At 39.3% G+C, this 18727-nt stretch overlaps 1 protein-coding gene across 10 annotated transcripts in view, besides 2 other annotated features; it reads right to left on the reverse strand.

Moving 5' to 3' along the window:
- HECW2 (HECT, C2 and WW domain containing E3 ubiquitin protein ligase 2) overlaps positions 1-18727 on the reverse strand; it is a 399483-nt gene that overhangs the window by 211695 nt on the left and 169061 nt on the right. The gene's annotated exons all lie outside the window — the stretch shown is intronic.
- Positions 2738-2787: an enhancer, noted in NCBI's record as "active region_16905". NCBI's record gives its function as "activates an Ori minimal core promoter by ATAC-STARR-seq in GM12878 lymphoblastoid cells {active_cell/tissue: GM12878}" and the evidence as "EXISTENCE:reporter gene assay evidence [ECO:0000049][PMID:35858748]".
- Positions 8314-8363: an enhancer, noted in NCBI's record as "active region_16906". NCBI's record gives its function as "activates an Ori minimal core promoter by ATAC-STARR-seq in GM12878 lymphoblastoid cells {active_cell/tissue: GM12878}" and the evidence as "EXISTENCE:reporter gene assay evidence [ECO:0000049][PMID:35858748]".

The raw sequence follows: 18727 nt of genomic DNA on the forward strand, positions 1-18727 counted from the left end.
AGCAAACTTCTTAAGGGAATTCTCTACAGCTGAAATACCCACTTCCTCACCTCACATCTCTTTCTCAACTCATTTCATTTCAACTTCTACCCCCACCAATCCTGTCAAGACACCAGCCGACAGCTTCCCTTGACACATTGCCAAGCCCAGTGGTCGCTTCTCTGTTCTTACACTGCTTGACCTCCCTCCTACTTGATTATCCCCTACTTTCTTCTAGTAGCTTCCAGGACACCTCATTCTCATGGTTTTCCTCACTGACTATTCTTTTTCAGCCTTCTGTGCCTCCTCTCTGGGCTCAGCCTCCAAGCTAGAACCCCTTCCTTTCTCTGTGTACACTGTCCTTCAGGGTAACCTCCTCCAGCTCCATCTATGTGCCAGTGATTCCTACACTAGAGATTTGCAGACCCAGCTTCTTCCTTCTTGACATATTCACCAAGATGACTGATAGGCAAGTCAAATTTCACAGGGTCAAAACAATTCCTGACTCTCCTTTTCCTCCTCATTCCCCATAATTACTTTTCCTTCAGTAAATTGTCCTACTCTGGCCAACAATCAAGGAACCACACCTGATACTTCTGTTTCCCACACCAATCTAAGCCATGAGGAGTTTCTCTTTATACCATCTTCAGTGATACCCTACACATATTCTACTTTTATCAACTTTTCTATTATTAGCCCAGTATAAGCCCATATTCCCTCTCATCTGCACTGCTACAAGACTGACCTATAATCCATTCTCCTCCAAAAGCCAGAGTCATCTTCTAAAAGTCAAACCTTATTAATCTCCTGCTTAAAATCCTGGTCTCCACTGTACTTGGAATAAAACCCAAACTCCTTATGTTGGTTGACAAAGTTCTCTGTGATCTGACCCCAACCTTCTTCTCTGAACCCACTGTGTCCCATTTCCACCTGGCCCGCCATGCTCCAGCCACTCTGGCCCTCTCTCTGTTCCTGACACCTGCCAAGCTCGTTCCTGCTTAGGGCCTTAGGAACCATTCTCTGCCTAGAATGCTCCTACCTCTGATGTTGGCAATGCTTGTTCCTTCTTGTCACTCAGCCTAAACATCACCTTGCAGAAAGGTCTTTCCTGACTCCCAATCTAAAGTCTGCCCAATCATTCCTGTTGCATTACACTGTTTTTATTATCTGCATTGTACTTACTTGAAATACTATCTGACATTTTTCTTGTGTATTTATTTTCCATCTTTTCTCTTTAGAATGTAAGCTCCACAAGTTGGGAGACGCTCTGTTGTATTTATTGCCATATCCCAGGATCTAGAAGTATGTCTAGCGCCAAGTGGATGCTCAATAAATATTTGATAATAAGTGCTTTCTCAGTAGAGCTTAGTCAAAGAATACGAGCTTTCTGGTATAAAAAAGTTACCTATTTGCAAAATAAAAATAATATACTTAGGTTTATGTGGCAGATAATACTTTCAAAACTTTTTTTTTTTTTTTTAAGACAGGGTCTCTCCTGGCTCACTGCAACCTCTACCTCCTGGACTCAGGTGATCCTCCCACCTCAGCCTCCCAAGTAGCTGGGACTAGAAGTGCATGTTACTACACTCAGCTAATTTTCTTTATTCCATGGTATAAATACTTCCACCATGGAAGGGTGAAAGACAGGGTTTCACCATGTTGCCTAGGCTGGTCTCAAACTCCTGAACTTACACGATCTGCCCACCTCAGCCTCCCAACGGGCTGGGATTACAGGCATGAGCCAGCACACCTGGCTCAAAACACTTTCACAAACATTTGTTTAATTTTCCCAATTACCTTTTAGAAGGTCTTCATGATCCTTCCTTTCCCCAACACAGAGAGGAAGGTGCTAAATGATCTATACCAGGTCACACTGTCAGGCAGTGGCAGTGCTGGGACTAAAACCTAAATGGCTAGACTCCTTGCTCAGTGCTCTTCCCACTAAGTCTAAATTAACAAATGAAAACAATGTATTGAACTGTGTGTGTGCTGCACTTAGAAGACTATACTGAAGTTACTTGTTCATGTCTCTTTTCCCACAGGCTATGTGTTCCTATAAAATAAAGTTGATGTTTTATTCATCTGTGTATTCCTAGTGCTTAGCACAGTGCGTGGTACCTTGTAGGTGTTAAAATGCTTGTTGAATTTAACTGAATACTCATATCAGAGCCAAGTCTTCTTCTCCATGCAAAACAGATTGGTTATTCTATCTCAATACTAAAGACTTCACTCTGAATATATAAAACCCTTAATGATTCTTCTGAAAAGCCCTAAGTTTCACACCATCCAGCACCTTCTGAGTCTTTCACTGACAATGTATGTGCCACAAGATGCAGGAGGTTAGAAGAGCAGTAGGCAGTCCTCTAAATCAGTACTCCAATTCACTTCCCCCTTCCTGATATGATCAAAAGGCTGTGCTGAAAATCTAAGATTTATTCAATCTGAAGTCACAGGCTAGAGACATATGCTATATATTTTTTTCATGCTCTGAATGTGGGAGAAAAATGAGTTATAATGGTATAATGGAAAAACATTGAATGAGGTATCAAGAATCACAAGTTATGAACCCAGTGAAGACTCCAAACAACTGCGTGATTCTATGCAGATTTCTGTCAGTCTCTCAGCTTCCTTATCTACAGCATAGGGGTGATGATCATCTGTAGGGTCGTTCCCAGCTCTAAAATCTGTTACTCTCTAAGTGGTCATGATTTTTATGACACTGTATCCAGTATCTTATCCCCCTCAGTCTCTGAACTCAAAATAGCTAGAGGATTGCCATAATTAGGTTAGGGTACAGTGGTAATAGTCAAACATAAATGAATGAATGAACAAATGACTAGATAAATGGGAAATTCTAGAAATTCTACACCCCTCCATTGAACTTTCTTTCAAGATACAAAGTAGAAGTAGAAACTTTATGAACAGCAAATCCTAAGTCCCACAACACAAAAGTTTCAAAATGCTTTAGAAACAAAGGAAATATCTCCCTTTAGCTTCCATTATTTTTTATCACATGTTAAGTCAAGAGGACTACTGAGTGTTATGGAGAGATTAGGATCTGAGGAATGCTGGACTCGTTTGAAGTAAGCTAATCAATGAAACAAGTCCTTCTCTTAATTCCATTAATTTATCTCCCATCGCCATAAGGGGCCCACCTATCTCACAAAAGGTTGGTCACTGATATGCTACCAACAATGCCAAAAAGAACAAGCATACAGGAGAATACAATCAATGGTGTGCGGGAGTCTATTGTTAACTTTTTCAGGAAACTTGCAAGCTGGTTGTTAGATGTTGGTAGCTTGAAATTGGCCATGGTAGAAGTATTTATACCATGGAAATCTAAAAATACTACAGACCAGGGTTTTTTGTTTTTGTTTGAAAGAGAAATCCAGTTTGTCAACACACTACTGACCATGGCACTTGGCTAGAAAGGCTCTGGGCTCTGGGAAAAACAGATAATGCAACACCAACAGAGAACAAAGAGAAGATTCATAAATCAAGAAACCTGGGTTCTAGTTCTAATATTCCCATTAACTGACCATGAAAACTGGAGCAAGTTTCTAAATCTCTGTGCTGTTGACTAAAATGTTAAGAGAAGTTAAACAAATGAACTCAAATATCTCTTTAGGATCTAAAACTTGGGATTTTATGATTCTCTGTCCAGGTCATACCTACCCTGACTCCCGAGATCTTACAGGAAATTCTCCAGGAACCAAAAGCTGGGCAGCAGCAAGACATGGATCAATCTTCCCATCTTCTGCTAGACCACAGTCTAGTGCTGTTTCAGTCTGATGCATTTGGCCAACGCACCACACTCAAACTTAGTCATAGTTCTAAAGTTCTCAGGACTCTTAATTTTTTAGTTGCATGAAAGAAAGTTTCAGACAGCCTCCAGCTGACTCAAGCGTTACATTTAGACTTAGGCTAGAGGCTCTCAGAGCATTTCTGGCCATTATTTGTCAAGTGCATGCTACTTCTATCTTGTTGCAGTTGTGAGGTTCCATAAGAAGCCCTCTAGGTATGAGGGCAGGAATGAAAAGTGCCATGCTACCAGAAGATTTTTAAAAAGCACATATCCTAACACCAGAGTTCCAGTCTTGATCCTGAGCCACCATCCTGAATCCCTTATACAGTAAATCCCTTGAAGGGAGAGACTGCGTATTACCCACAAAACCTGGCACAAGAATCATAAAAAGATTTGCTAAAGTCAATTCCCTGGTTTGGTAGAGTTTGGGGGTTCATTGACCTGAGATTGGTATATGGGCAATGAATAACATTTAGTTAAATGTTTCTCCCAGAGCAACAGAGGACTCCTCAAAATAAGTGCTCATGACAAGCCAGCACAGATTTATCCTATCATGTAGGATGGCAGTGTTATTGTGCAAGGTTTCATCCTGAAAAAAAATGGAAATGTTGCTTCTGCTCTGCCAAGTGTTCTCACTTAGGGATGCAAAGATTTGTAAATATGATCTTTGTTCCATGGTCATGCGCTTTGAAAGAAAAATGCATGTAACATATTTTGGGATCAAGTAAATAGCAATGGTACATTTTGACATAATCCTAAAAGTGATGACAAGAACAATATCTAGCAGGATCTATTTGTAAGTGTGTTGGAGCCAGATTTCTAAAAATTCAGTCAGAGAGAGCAGAACTTAAAAATAGACAAAGCAGTTTAAACTTAGAATGAATTCTAGAAAATGATCATATGTATCTAATCTAATTCATAAAAATAAATCTTTAGAGACTAAAACAAAAAGGGGGGAGTTTTTTAGGTCAGTCTGTTATGTCCGATCAGATCAGTACTTAAGCCATTGAAAACAATTCTTAAAGCTCCCTAGGAATATAGGATCCATGAAGTCTTGGAAATTCAGTCCAGGACTAACAGCTTTCCCCAAATCAACAAGATTTTAAATCTAAAGACTAAAGGGATACTTCCAGTGAACCATGTCACAAAATTCAATTGTATATCAAACAGAAATACAGCCAACAGGACACTGAACTTCAGTTCTCCTTTTAAAATGTTCATTATTCAACACATTTTTATTGAACTTGATCCAAATATGATTCAGACATGGTCAGTCTGTAAAGTCAAGAAGTCCACAGAGCACAGTAGAAGGCTAGCACATCCACAAACGTAACAACATAGCATACAGACAGCAGTGATAACAACAGCCCACCGAGAAGATACATGCAGATTCTGAGATCATAATGCCATTCCAGGCAATGCAATGGCTCAGCTAGAGACAGGAGCTTTTTGTTTTGTTTTGTTTTGAGGCAGGGTCTCACTCTGTTGCTGAGGCTGAAGTGCAATGGTGTGACCATAGTTCATTACAGCCTTGACCTCTCAGGCTCAAGTGATCCTCCTGCCTCAGTTTCCTGAGTAGCTGGGACTACAGGTACACACTACCATATATGGCTAATTTTTTTTATTTTTAGTTTTGTACAGACAAGGTCTCCCTATTTTGCACAGGCTGGTTTCGAACTCCTGGCCTAAAGCAATCCTCCCACCTCCATCTCCCAAAGTGTTGGGATTACAGGCATGAGCCACCATGCCTGGACTAGCAGCATCTTTTAATTAAGGGCCAGGTTCCAGGGTGCAGTGCTCTTCCTTTTTAGTGGGTGCTATCACTTCTAAAGGTAACAATTATTTTCTGCTCAGAGGAATTAAACAAACAAACAAAAAACTCGCAAGGCATTTAAGGTTTAAAAAAAGCAATCCTGTTTCAATACAAAGGTCTTGTGCAAAGGAGGATGGCTCTCCACATGAATCAAGTGGCAAAGTCCAGACATCTAGGGCACTGTACTTCTGTAAAAGGAGACACACCAGGAAATGCCCAAGCTCAGGAGATAGCAGTACTGGGGCAGTGGGAAGCATTGTTGAAATGCAAAGAGAGAGAAGAGCTGGCCAACAAGGCCTTAAAGCTCAAGAGGAGGCATTTTTAATTAGAAACTTGGAGTGACTTGGATCAAAATTACATGGGAAGCCTGGATGCGGTGGCTCACGCCTGTAATCCTAGCACTTTGGGAGGCCGAGGTGGGCAGATAACTTGAGGTCAAGAGTTTCAGACCAGCCTGGCCAACATGGGGAAACCCCATCTCTACAAAAACTACAAAAACTAGCTGGTGTAGTGGCGCACACCTGTAGTCCCAGCTACTTGGGAGGCTGAAGCAGGAGAATCAGTTGAGCCCAGGAGGCAGAGGTTGCAGTGAGCCAAAATTGCACCAGTGCACTGCAGCCTGGGTGACAGAGCAAGACTCTGTCTTAAAAAATAAAAATAAATAAATAAATGAATAAAAATTACACGGGAAGATCTTGTTATTCAGTTTAAGGTTCATTATTTATGTTCCCAGTATTTATGCACAAACCTATTGTATTAGTTTGCTAGGGCTGCCGTGATAAATTACCACAAACTGGTTAGCTTAAACAACAGAATGTTAAAGTTCTGGAGGCTAGAAGTCCAAAATCAAGATGTTGACCAGGTTGTTTTCTTTTGCGACCAGTGTAGGAAAATCTGTTCTAAGCCTCTTTCCTTGGTGTGCAGGTGACCGTCTTCATGTCACATGCTGCTTCCCCTTTCCATAGGGCAACAGTCATATTGAATTAAGGCCCACCCTAATGACATCATTTAACTTGCTTACCTCTGTAAAGACGCTGTCTCCAAATAAGACCACATTCTGAGGTACTGGGGTTACGACTTCAACATATGAATTTGGGGGGTGCCAGGACACAGCATCTGGATTATAGAAGGCACAGTCCTTATTCACAAAGAGTTTATCATCCCATTTTGAGGTCAGGATTTAGTCACAGGACACATTCAGAACACCCTTTAGGGAATGTAATCAAATGATAAACTCTTTGTTTTGGCCAGGAAGCCTTTAGAGCAGTGGCTTTGAAATTTCATGTTCACAGTCCCCTTCACAATTACTGCCACATCTTGATGCTACTATTTACTTGATGCTTTTTCATCTTTGCTCTTTTTACTTAAGTGAGTTTACCTCAGTCCATTAATGGAAAACCAGTATCCCTGCCAAAAATAGAAAGTAAATTTAAAACTAAACACATTACAATTAAATTTTAAAATACTGCCCATGAATCATATGAAATCCTTTTACCCCAGTTCAACATAGCCCTAAAGGCTGGAAGGAGCCCTCTGAATTAGGAAATTATTAGACAACTTTGGTCCAAATTCTGTCACCATCATCTGTCATGGGTAAGCAACTTAACCTGTTAACTTCCTCCTCTGGTTCCCACCATCAGGTGGCACAGTTAATCAGGTGGAGAGCTGCCCTAAGAATTATATGAAATATGAAATAACATGAAATAGAGCTGGGCATGATAGCTCTCTCCTGTACTCTCAGCAGTTTGGGAGGCCCAGGCTGGAGGATCACTTGAGGCCAGGAGTCCAAGACTAGCCTGGGCAACATAGAGAGACCCTGTCACTACAAAAAAATTAAAAAATTAGCCAGGCATGGTGGTGTACTGCCTGCAGTCCCAGCCACTCAGGAAGCTGGCGTGGGAGGATCGCTTGAGCACAGGAGCGTGAGGTAACAGTGAGCTATGATTGTGCCACTGCACTCCAGCCTGGGTGACAGAGCAAGACCCTGTCTTTTTTTTTTTGAGATTGAGTCTCACTCCATTGCTCAGGCTGGAGTGCTGTGGTTCAATCTTGGTTCACTGCAACCTCCGCCTCCCAGGTTCAAGCAATTCTCCCGCCTCAGCCTCCCAAGTAGCTGGGATTACAGGCACGCACCACCATGCCCGGCTAATTTTTGTATTTCTAGTACAGACAGGGTTTCAAATGTTGGCCAGGCTGGTCTCAAACTCCTGACCTCAGCTGATACACCCGCCTTGGCCTCCCAAAGTGCTGGGATTACAGGTGTAAGCCACTATGCCCAGCCGACCCTGTCTCAAAAAAAATTATATGAGATAATATTATTAGAAGAGCTCTCTCAATATAAAAGCACTATAAAAATATTATCATGGATAAAATGGACAGCAGATGAAAAACTTGAACCCTTACTTCTGCTCTTTTCCACTCTCTAATCTGGAGCTCTCCCTGTATTCTCTGAGGTTTCCTACAGTTACACTGCCCACCCACACCAGCCTGCACTTCTCTTAGCCTGTTGGCTGGTGCTGGTCTCTATAGGAACGCGGAAGCTGTTCTTAGTGACAGATGACCTCATTTCCATCACCCCGTGCTTCAAGCCTCAAGGACTGAGGCAGGTTCTGCCTTCGTTGTGTGTTGCTGGTGATCACTACTCTGCAGCTCACCTCTGCACTCAGCTGTACCCCACCAACACAGTCATCAAAAAGCACTGAGAAGACAGTCCCCTGATTTTCTCTTCTTTGCTGCTTTTGAGTGAAATGCTTTGCTTTTCCATAAATAGTTCAGAGCCTCACGCCACGTGAATATTTCTTCAAAAGTGGTTCTCTCCAGGGGACTTGAGCACAGCTGTCAGTTAGCTTGACTCAGAAGCAACAGACCAGAGAAAGGCAACATTTCCCCCAACAGCACTGTTTTGTATCCCACTTTACTCAGCCAGAGTCAGCTCAATTTCACCTCTGAATCTGAGACTGAAACCCTACCTGTCCTCCATTCCTGTAACATCTCCATTTCCAACTTGAAAAATAAAGCCAAACAAATCTCAGTATGTGTTAGGATCTTCTCCCCTTCTAACTTCAAAGATAAAATGTGCTTAGGAGGCAGGGAAGGGCTGATTGAGCTGGTATCGCCATGATCTGGTGCGAACATTCTGTGAGTGTGGAGTGTCTCTCTTTCCCTCAAAGGGGCCTTCCTGAGTCCTAGAGAGAGGACCCATTTCTGGAGACTTGCACTTGCAAATTCCCCTGAGGTGGTCACTAGCCCTAGACACTAGGCTTCAGGACCACACACTGCCTCTTTCTGCCAGGGTCTTCCATCTGGCCTCTGAGGCCCCTGGGTAACATCAGCCCCTGGGGACTCCTTTCCAGCAGGAGTAACAGTGCCCCAACACCAGCTTTGTTGTGGGCGGATCCCCCACACCTGGTCCACAAGAATCATGTGTTCTTGCCCCAACAACTCAAACCGTGCAGGTTATTGTCAGCACAGCCCCTCTCACTCTGAGTTCCAGCCACAGCCTCTCACCTTGGGAGTCTTCAGGTGTGGGTCGGATATCAGTCCACTGCAGACAGCACTCATGAAGCTCTTAGAGCAGTTCCCTTCATGCCTCTCTCATCTGACTTAAGGTAGAGGGAAGTACCCCTGCTGAGGCCCTGAAGTGAAAGGTGACAGCCATACCCAAAGTCCAAAGTGAGATGCCTCACTGTCCAAGCAGGACATGGGAAGAAGGTGGTCCAGAATCATTCTCATGACCCTTACCTGGCTACCAGGTGAGAGAGGAGTTGTTGATTTCATAGGGGATTTCTCTGGGGCCACTGTCTATGTTCTGGTGAACCTGTTATCTTTGTCAAAAACATATACATACACTGAAAAGAAGCAGGGTACTTATATTCCTCGGTAGGAGACTGGATGTGCATGTTAAAAGTGTAGTAGGAGTCAAAATCTTGTACAAGGTTTCCAAGCCTATGAGATTGAAAAAATGGCATTTCTACCAACAAAAACAGGGGAATCAAGAACTGGTTTTGCTTGTCAGTCTGTTCGTTTTGAACAAACTGAGTTTGAAAGTGAGTAGCATATTTGGAGAGAAATGATCCTGGGAGCTTTAGACAGAGGTTGGGATTCAATAGGGGTATGCTGGGACACTGGCTCTCTGAGGGTGGGAAAGCCCTGATGTGTAGTGTTTGCTGCTTCCTGTGGTGTAAATGCTCTCATCACAGCTGACTTCCTGCTACCAATGTGCACGCGCTGAATGCGGAGCTGAGCTTTCGTGCATGACATGCAGAATGGGCTCCCAGGAGCCAGTAAGAGATGGCTCCAGGCACCTTTGGTTGGAGATGAAGCTTTCTGCTTAAACTGGCCTCTTAAAAGGAAGGACATCCACAACAAAGCCTGAAGAATATTTAGAATAAGGAAAGAAACAAGTTTCTGTAAAAATGAAAGGATTGGCCAGAAAACTGGGAGATCCAGGACAGTGTCACAGCCAATGAAGAAAAAAGTCTCAAAAAGAAGGGGCAAAAAACAGTATCAAAGGGTGTTGGGAGTTGAAGATTAACAAAAGGTTTAGTAATATGACTTTTAAGAGTTATTGTTGATTTCCAAGTGCATGGTTTTACTACATAGTAGGGATAGAGGGGTTCTAGTTGTAATTTCTCATAAAAATAAGAATTTTCTATTTGAATTTTATTTCTTCGTATCTTTCTCTTAATAGAGATAGCTTTTCTTACTAGAGATATTAAAGAAATTATGCTGAAATATTTTAGCTTATAGACACTTGCATTGGTCACACTGACCTTTAGAAAACAATAAATTACATCAGTTACAGTTTAGAGAAAGATGAATAAGTTTTAAATTTTGTGGCAAAGAAATGTTTGTACTATATACAATCATGTTAGATCATCTCACTCTCTCCTATGCCTAGGGCTTATATAAGCAAGCACTCAGCCCTGTGGATTTAAAATCCCAAGGACAGTGTGCTGCACTAAAAAGGAAACATAAGAGATAACAGAAAAAAAAGTATTTCTATGTATTTGATCATAAAGATCACCTAAAAAACTGTGGCAGCTTTACAAAAACAGTATTGGTGAGATATTTTAAATGGTGCTATTAAAAAACTAGCAAAAAATTATAAATTAAACCTCTATGAGCCTCCATCTAAGAAACTGAATCATCATATTCTACTGAATCTTGGAGGATCAGATTCATGTTCAGTGGGAGGCCCAGTAAATGCCCATTTAACATATTTCAGTGTAACCACACAAGCCTACTGGGTGCAAGAGAGGAGACTGCCAAAGGGGACAATTGAAGCAGCATGGGAACAATTCCAAACCCTGCATGTGTGACCCAAGAGGGAACGTGAAATATACAATTCTTCCAAGTATCCCGCCAGGCTGCAGGGAATTTTAGTTTTTGATGACAAGGGCTTTGTTGTTATTATTTGTTTGTTTTCTTATAAAAACAGCCCATAAACACAAGCTAACTTCTTCTCTGGCACTCAGTCTGAGACAGCAGTCTGTTCTAAAGCTGGAAGAAAAACCTGCCATTGAATTTGGTGTTAAGTCATATTGCTTTCCTAAGGAGTTTTCAGGGGTAATTTTGGCTATACTAAAAAATCACCTTCAGGAAGTGGCTTTAGCAACTAATTCCTTTTAAGAAGCAACTCCACGATGAAGGAAATTCCTATTAGGCACTGTATTTTTCCCTGTTGTTTTACTGAGCAACCAGGTACACATTACTTAATCCATCTAAGCCTTCGGCTTCTAATTTGTAAAATGAGACCGATAGAGTCAATGATCATTAATTTTAATTCTAAATTTAAAACCTTTATGGCTCTATATTTTAAAATACACTTCAACAGATAAATAATATTTTAATGATTCCAAATGATGAAAAATATCATACTTCACTGCTAGCATTCAATTTCCTTAAATAAGTAATATAGTTTCCTTAGATTTGAGTGAAACTTATTTAAAACATAGAATTGTGGAGATTCCAAAGACAGCATCACATAATAAGATGTCACTAAGATGACAATGTTGCTGCTTGCCCTAGCAGTGTTGATGCAGTTAGAAAGAATTTTACAAGTAATAATCCTGATTATTTTTAATTAAAAAAATTTTTAGAGACAGGCTCTTGCTATGCTGCCCAAGCTGGACTCAAACTTCTGGGCTCAAGTGATCCTCCAGCCTCAGCCTCCCGAGTAACTGGTACTACTGGCAAACAATGCTGATTTTTCAAAAGAATTTTATTAGTTGCATAGCACTCCATTCAGGCAAATGAATCACATGATGGACCAGAAAACTCCAAGTTACCTTACATATGCTGACCAGTAACCTTGCTCAAATCAGCAGTTACATCGAGTCATGTGCATAGCACAGTTCACCTTGTTTATCTCCTTGAAATGTCTCAGAAATGACAGGTTTTGGCAGTTAAAGTGAAAAGAGAAAAAGTGGCTGTCATGGAGCCCCAAACTAAGAATTTAACCTCTAGATGTTCGCTGAATTCTTAAAGCTTTCCTTTTCATGGTGAATGCTTTACAATGTCAAAAATATGCCACAGACTTACACTTAAAGAAAAAAAACCCTACTATTTACTTGGATGCCTTAAAAAGATACATAGTAAATATTTAGATTCCTGTTAGTTAATTTAATGTAAATTCCCAGTTGGAAATTTCACATTTTTTAGGTTAGTCATTCATTAACATATTTGAGTCTAATAGTATAGCTTAGTGCTATAAATATAGTCCCCAAAAAAGCAGTACTTAATTTTGTAGAGGGAAAGGATGATCACTTCTTTTTTTTTTTTGAGATGGAGTCTCGCTCTGTTGCCCAGGCTGGAGTGCAGTGGCACCATCTCGGCTCACTGCAAGCTCTGCCTCCCGGGTTCACGCCATTCTCCTGCCTCAGCCTCCCGAGTAGCTGGGACTACAGGCGCCTGCCACCACACCCAGCTAATTTTTTGTATTTTTAGAAGAGACGGGGTTTCACTGTGTTAGCCAGGATGGTCTCGATTTCCTGACCTCGTGATCTGCCTGCCTCGGCCTCCCAAAGTGCTGTGATTACAGGCGTGAGCCACCGTGCCCGGCCAGATGATCACTTCTTGATCCATCAATAATCTCAAAACAGCACTTGCTTGTACTAGAGGTATAATAACTATATCGCAAATATACTGGTACATATTTCAGAGTGTCAAAAATATAATAGATATTCTTCATGTCAAACAAGTTATAACTTTCAGGAAAACATCTATGACTGCTTAGAGCAACAGATGCACATTTTCGGAAACAAGAGAATAAGAAAAGACCAAAAAATGAGAGTATAAAGCAGTAGACATACTGAATTCAGGAAAATGTTATTTCTATTTAAACATAAAATGCTTTCAATATTGAAGACAGATCCTATAGGTAAGGAAATGGGAAACAAAAGGCTGGTACACTGTAAAAAATTAGGAAAAACCTGCAATGATGACTTATTAACTATGATCCTGAATATAGAGGATATTTAAAAAATTTTTTCAGAAGCCTGGTACATTGTAAAGTTCTAACATTGTTAAACAAACAGATGAATGAATACCAAAGATATTCTGTTCAATAAAATCATTAGTTGAAAGCTACATAACATGGAATCATCCTCAATAAAAAAGTATTTACTCACACCATAATTACTCTAGCTTAAAACCAACTCTCGAATGAATTAATGAATCTGCACAGATAATGCAGCACAGAGAGCTGGGTAAGGTGCTCAGCCTACAACATGAACAAGATGCAGTTAAGGAGTTAAGAGTGCAATGGAAGGAAGAAGCATGGAGAAAGACAAATTATAAATAACACAGTGTAATCAGCACTGAGACAGCGATATTATAAAATACCTAAGGGAGTAGGAAAACAGACTGATTACCCAGAATAGTTAGGTAGATTACCCACAGAGTGGGCGATTTTTCTGAATCCTCACTTAAAAGATACACGGAATTCAGACAGAAAAAGGGAAAGGAACAGGAGGTGTTCTCTTCAAGTACATCTGCAAACCCTTCGGGACAAAAGACTGGCATGTGCACATACAATTTCCACCTCCTGGAATGACCTTTCTTGTGTGTGAATGCCAAAAAACATCTCAATTTCACATGAAGTCCAAATATCATCTTCTTGGTAAAGCCTTTCTATACCCTTCCCATCTCTGAACCCATCTCAGGCATTAAACTGCCCCTTCTCCATGCTCCTGTGGTCTTTGTAATATTGTTCTGAATACAGTGCATTACAATTATTTCCTTCCTACTTATATCTCACCTATTATGAGCTGATTCATTTTTTATCCTATTGCCTAGTGGCAGCCACACAGTAGGTTCTCAACAAATGTTTGTTGGGGATGTGTGTAGTGGGGTGGCTACCTGGCTACTCGCGTATCACAATTACAAATGTTATCTTGTTCCACCTTCAGTGCAATCTTATGAGGTTGGTATATTAAGAAATTGAAGCTCGGAATGGTTCAGCAACTCTTCCAAGTGCCAACTACTGTCCCGTACCCCCACTCCAAAACGATCCTCAGAGCCACTGTATTATTACCCAATGTTGAAGTTAATGGAGACTCTATCCAGTTCCAGCTTGTTTGTAGGTAAGGCATTACGATGGTTCTGGTAATGATTTTATGAACTACAGTAGCTAAGAAAATGTGATCATTTATACTATTTGACTGTTGTTTTACACATTTTGATGAAGGAAGAGAAATATCATGCTTTCTCAATGAACATACATTTGGAGTTTTGCAATTCATAATTTAAATAAAATAAGTACAAAAACTCAAACTATGAAAATGTGGAAGAATCCCTTAACGTCACCACTAAATCTGAGTTACAATACTCTGGTTTCTAAACTTAAAACAGGTTGAAAATCTGAGTTGCTCAATGCAGTTTCTCTGAAGTCCATATGAACTGCACACTACTGTGAGGCAAGTCTGTATTTATTCAACAATTCAACAATAATGTCAGCCAGATTGTGGGAAACAATTGACGGAAAAAAATATAATGACTTTGATAGTTATCACAGCTCCACTGTAACTCAAAGATTGCAAGCGTAAGATTGGTTTAAGGCCTTGACTTTACAAATAATGATAAAAATAGCTGGTGCAAAATGAAATAGAGAACACATGAGAGCCTGTTAAGGGGAAGACCCACTGGAGAAAATGAAGAGAAGATTTTGGATATATCTGACACCTTTCATCATAACCTACATTAATCAAGAAAAAAATATATTCTTTGGTTTGGTAAACCAACAAGGATTTGAAGTTAAATTGTAAACTTCACCTGTGTGCTTCCATTTATTTTATAATGCAACATTTTTTGTATGTATGTGTTCTATAAGAAAATCAAGCCCAGTTGTACTCTGGTGCTGCTGATTCAGATAAGTCAGTTCTTTTTTTTTCATCTTCAAATTGTTTATTTATCCAAAAGATTACTGTTTTCAGCCATTATGTTATGGAGGTTTGTTACATAGAATATGTCTATGAAAAAAACACAATAATAATAGTAATGACTAATGTGGAAGAAGGGGTTTAAAATAGGATGGAATTAAATGTCGTCAACAATAAAAGAGAAGATGGGAAAGAAAGTGATTGGAATGAAAAGATCCTAAGATTCTTGTACAGTTTGAGGCACTGAAAGATCCCAATTCATTATATGCTAACTCAATTACATATGTCAAAAATTGAAAGGATAAACTTTTAAGAGAATAGACTAGAATGTTTAAATTCCAAGCAAATATGCTCAGGAAGAATGTGAGATGTGGGAGTAAAAACAACTCATCATTTCCATTGAGGGTATAAAAATAGGGGGAAAAAACTAAGAAAAAGCATGATATGCAGAAAATAAATAAGATGTTGTAAAAAGTCCAAACATATCAAAAGTAAAAGCAGATGTAAAAAACTCTACATGTACCAATTTTAAAAGATGCTCACTTAAATTAGATTAAAAATCATAAAGCTTTACATGATTTACAGCAGATAAATCTAGAGCATGCCAAAGAATGGCTGAAAGTAAATTGATGGGAAAAGATACACTAAGCAAAAACTAACTGAAAGGAAGTTGATGTGACAACTGATAACAGACAAAACAGACTTTAAGAAATATAGCAGGATAAAATAATTGCATTATAAGTAACTTTATAGGTGTGTCCACTATTTAGTCCTTAAGAAAGTATAAAAAGCTAATTATAACAAACACGATAAAATCAGTATGTATAGTAAGGAATTATTTTGTGGGTTAGTAATGGTTGCAATCAGAACAAAGAATTTCTAAACCGCATGCAAAAGCTATCTTAATTCAATCACAAAATATTTACAATTATTTAACATTTACTAATTTTGGCTATATGAGTCTCCTTTAAGGAAAAGTGACACAAATAAGCATGGGGGGCAATAAAAATACAATAAGGGTAATGTTTCTAGAATCATCTCAATCTATGGAGAGAAGAATGCCTGTATCAAGTATCGCTTGCAGTCAATATGTTAAAGCATAAAATACACTAAAGCTTCTTTGGCTACACCAACCTATGCAATTTTCGAAAACCCATCTAATATCCAGGGGAGTCTTTCATAACCATTTTGAACATGTGGACTCCTCTGTGGACCAAATCTTCCACACGCATATTAAAAGGAAGATCCGTGATAGTCTGAGATACCAAGGTGATCCTGTGAATTCAGATTCCACTAAGCTATTTTTCATCTATAATGGTCATGCACTGTCCTTGGTACTGCCCTGGGTATGCCTGCTCATTCAGTCTCTGAACACCTTGCAAAGTGTATTCCAAAGTATGAGACTTTCTAACCCCTAGTATCTATTCTTGCAGTGACCATACAAGGATGCCTTAAGCTTTGAAACAGACTGGAGGACCAGACACATTGTTAGCAAGACATTCTACTATGGGAGAGACACTGATTGCTCACTGAATAGCCAAAGGCTTCTATGCATTTCCCAGTCCCCTTGCAGTTAGACAAAATTTTGCTACCAATGCTGAACAATGAGCTCTGAGCCGAAGTGAAATGTGTGGCTTTGGTGTCTAAGTATTTAAGAGCTAGCATAAGAGTTTCCAGCTCTCTCTTCCCCTGACACTTGCCCAAAGAGGTCATGTGTCCAGATGGCATAATGATAAAATGGTTGAGCCTTTAATAATCTAATATGGAAAAAATAAAGAAGGTGATGAGCCTGAGTCCCTAAGTGACAGTATGAATCAAGCCCCCTGCCAACCCACACGAGACATGCAGCATTAGCAATAAATAATCCTTTGTTCTGTTAAGCCCTGAGGATTTAGGGTTAGTAAATTATTGCAGCATAATCTGACTAGGTGAAAAGAATTTAGAGTTAAGTTGTTCCAAAAAACAATTACATGTTCAAAGCTCTTACTTTCTAAGAGCATTTTAAAATTTTAAAAATATGACCTAAAACAACTTTTCTTCACCAGGAATCATGATAAAATATCAAAAGAACTTAGGATCGGGCACTCTTAACTATATTTGATAGCTATTCTGAAGATGAAAAACCTAATGCATTATTTGTTCCATTTGATTGAATTTCAGATTAAATTGTGGATTTCCCATCACCTTGTAAAGCATGTTGATTTAGAACCTAAATAATACTCAAATTAAAATACTGTATTATTTAGCATTCACATTTTAAGTGCTTATATAATTTCTAGAGCTCTGCTTCAAATAAATGAATTTTGTTTTCCTTAGGTAGAAGTGGCCCATTGTGTCACTTTAAACTGGAAATCCCTTCTTGGGAATTCATTCAGTGGGTAAGTTTGAGCTGCAGCTTCAGGCTACCAGTAAAATGATTTTATTATTATTAATAATTACCAAAATATTAATGATAGTTTATAATAATAACCTTACAATCTGCCCAAGCACTGTGCCGAGCATTTTATATGCAATATCTCATTTAATTCTCATAATATTGGTGGTTTAAGTCATTTTTTTAAAAATGGAGAAATTCAGGTTTAAAAAGTTAAATTATCTGCCCATGGTCATTCAGCTAGTCATTCACTGAATTTACTAATGTGTCTAACTATAGCGCCTGTGATCTCAACAATTGATAACGTCAGAGCTTCTCAAAGTGTGCTGCTGTGACGGTCCTGGGTAGTTCATTGACAAAAGTTATTCCTTAACAGTTAATGCATGTCAGAAAGAAATATACCTAACAACGCAAACCTTTCTCTAACACTATTGCTTAGAACATTGTCAGGGTAGAGAGCATGTTTTGTTTTAATCAAATGAGTTATTTCACTTCACCTCCAGGTTCATCTATGTTGTCACAAATGAGAGGGTTTCCTTCTTTTTTAATGAATGTATAGTATTCCATTGTGTGTGTGTGTGTGTGTGTGTGTGTGTGTTTATCACATTTTTCTTATCCATTCATCCACTGATGGACACTTAGGTTGACTGCATATCTTGGCTATTATAAATAGTGCTGCAATAAACATGGGAATCCAGATATCTCTTCTGTATGCTGACTTCATTTCCTTTGGATATGTATACCCATAAGTGGGATTGCTGGGTCATATAGTATTTATATTTTTAATTTTTTGAGAAGCCTACATAGAAAACTCTTTTTATGATGCTTTGCTTTATTGCACTTCACAGATAATGTGTTTTTTTTACAAATAGAAGGTGTGTGGAAACCCCACATTGAGCAAGTCTGTTGGTGCCATTTCTTTTCCAACAGCATATGCTCACTTCATGTCTCTGTGTCACATTTTGCTATTTATTGCAATATTTCAAGCTTTTTCATTATTATTATGCCTGTCGTGATGATCTCTGATCAGTGGTCTTTTGATGATATTATTGTAATTGTTTTGAGGCACCATGAACTGTGCCCAAGACTATAAACTTAATCAATGAATATTGTGTGTGTTCTGACTGTTCCACTGACCCAACGATCCTCTTTCTCCCTCTCTTCAGCTGTCCTAACTCCTGAGACACAACAATATTGAAATTAGGCCAATTAATAACCCTACAATGGCCTCTAAGTATTTAAATGAAAGGAAAAGTCACACATCTCTCACTTTAAATCAAAAGTTAAAAGTGATTAAACTTAGAGAGGAAGGCATCTCAAAAATTGAGACAGGCCAAAAGCTAGGCCTCTTGCTTCGAACAGTTAGCCAAGTTGTA

Source organism: Homo sapiens, chromosome 2, assembly GCF_000001405.40.
Source record: "Homo sapiens chromosome 2, GRCh38.p14 Primary Assembly".
NCBI lineage: Eukaryota > Metazoa > Chordata > Mammalia > Primates > Hominidae > Homo > Homo sapiens.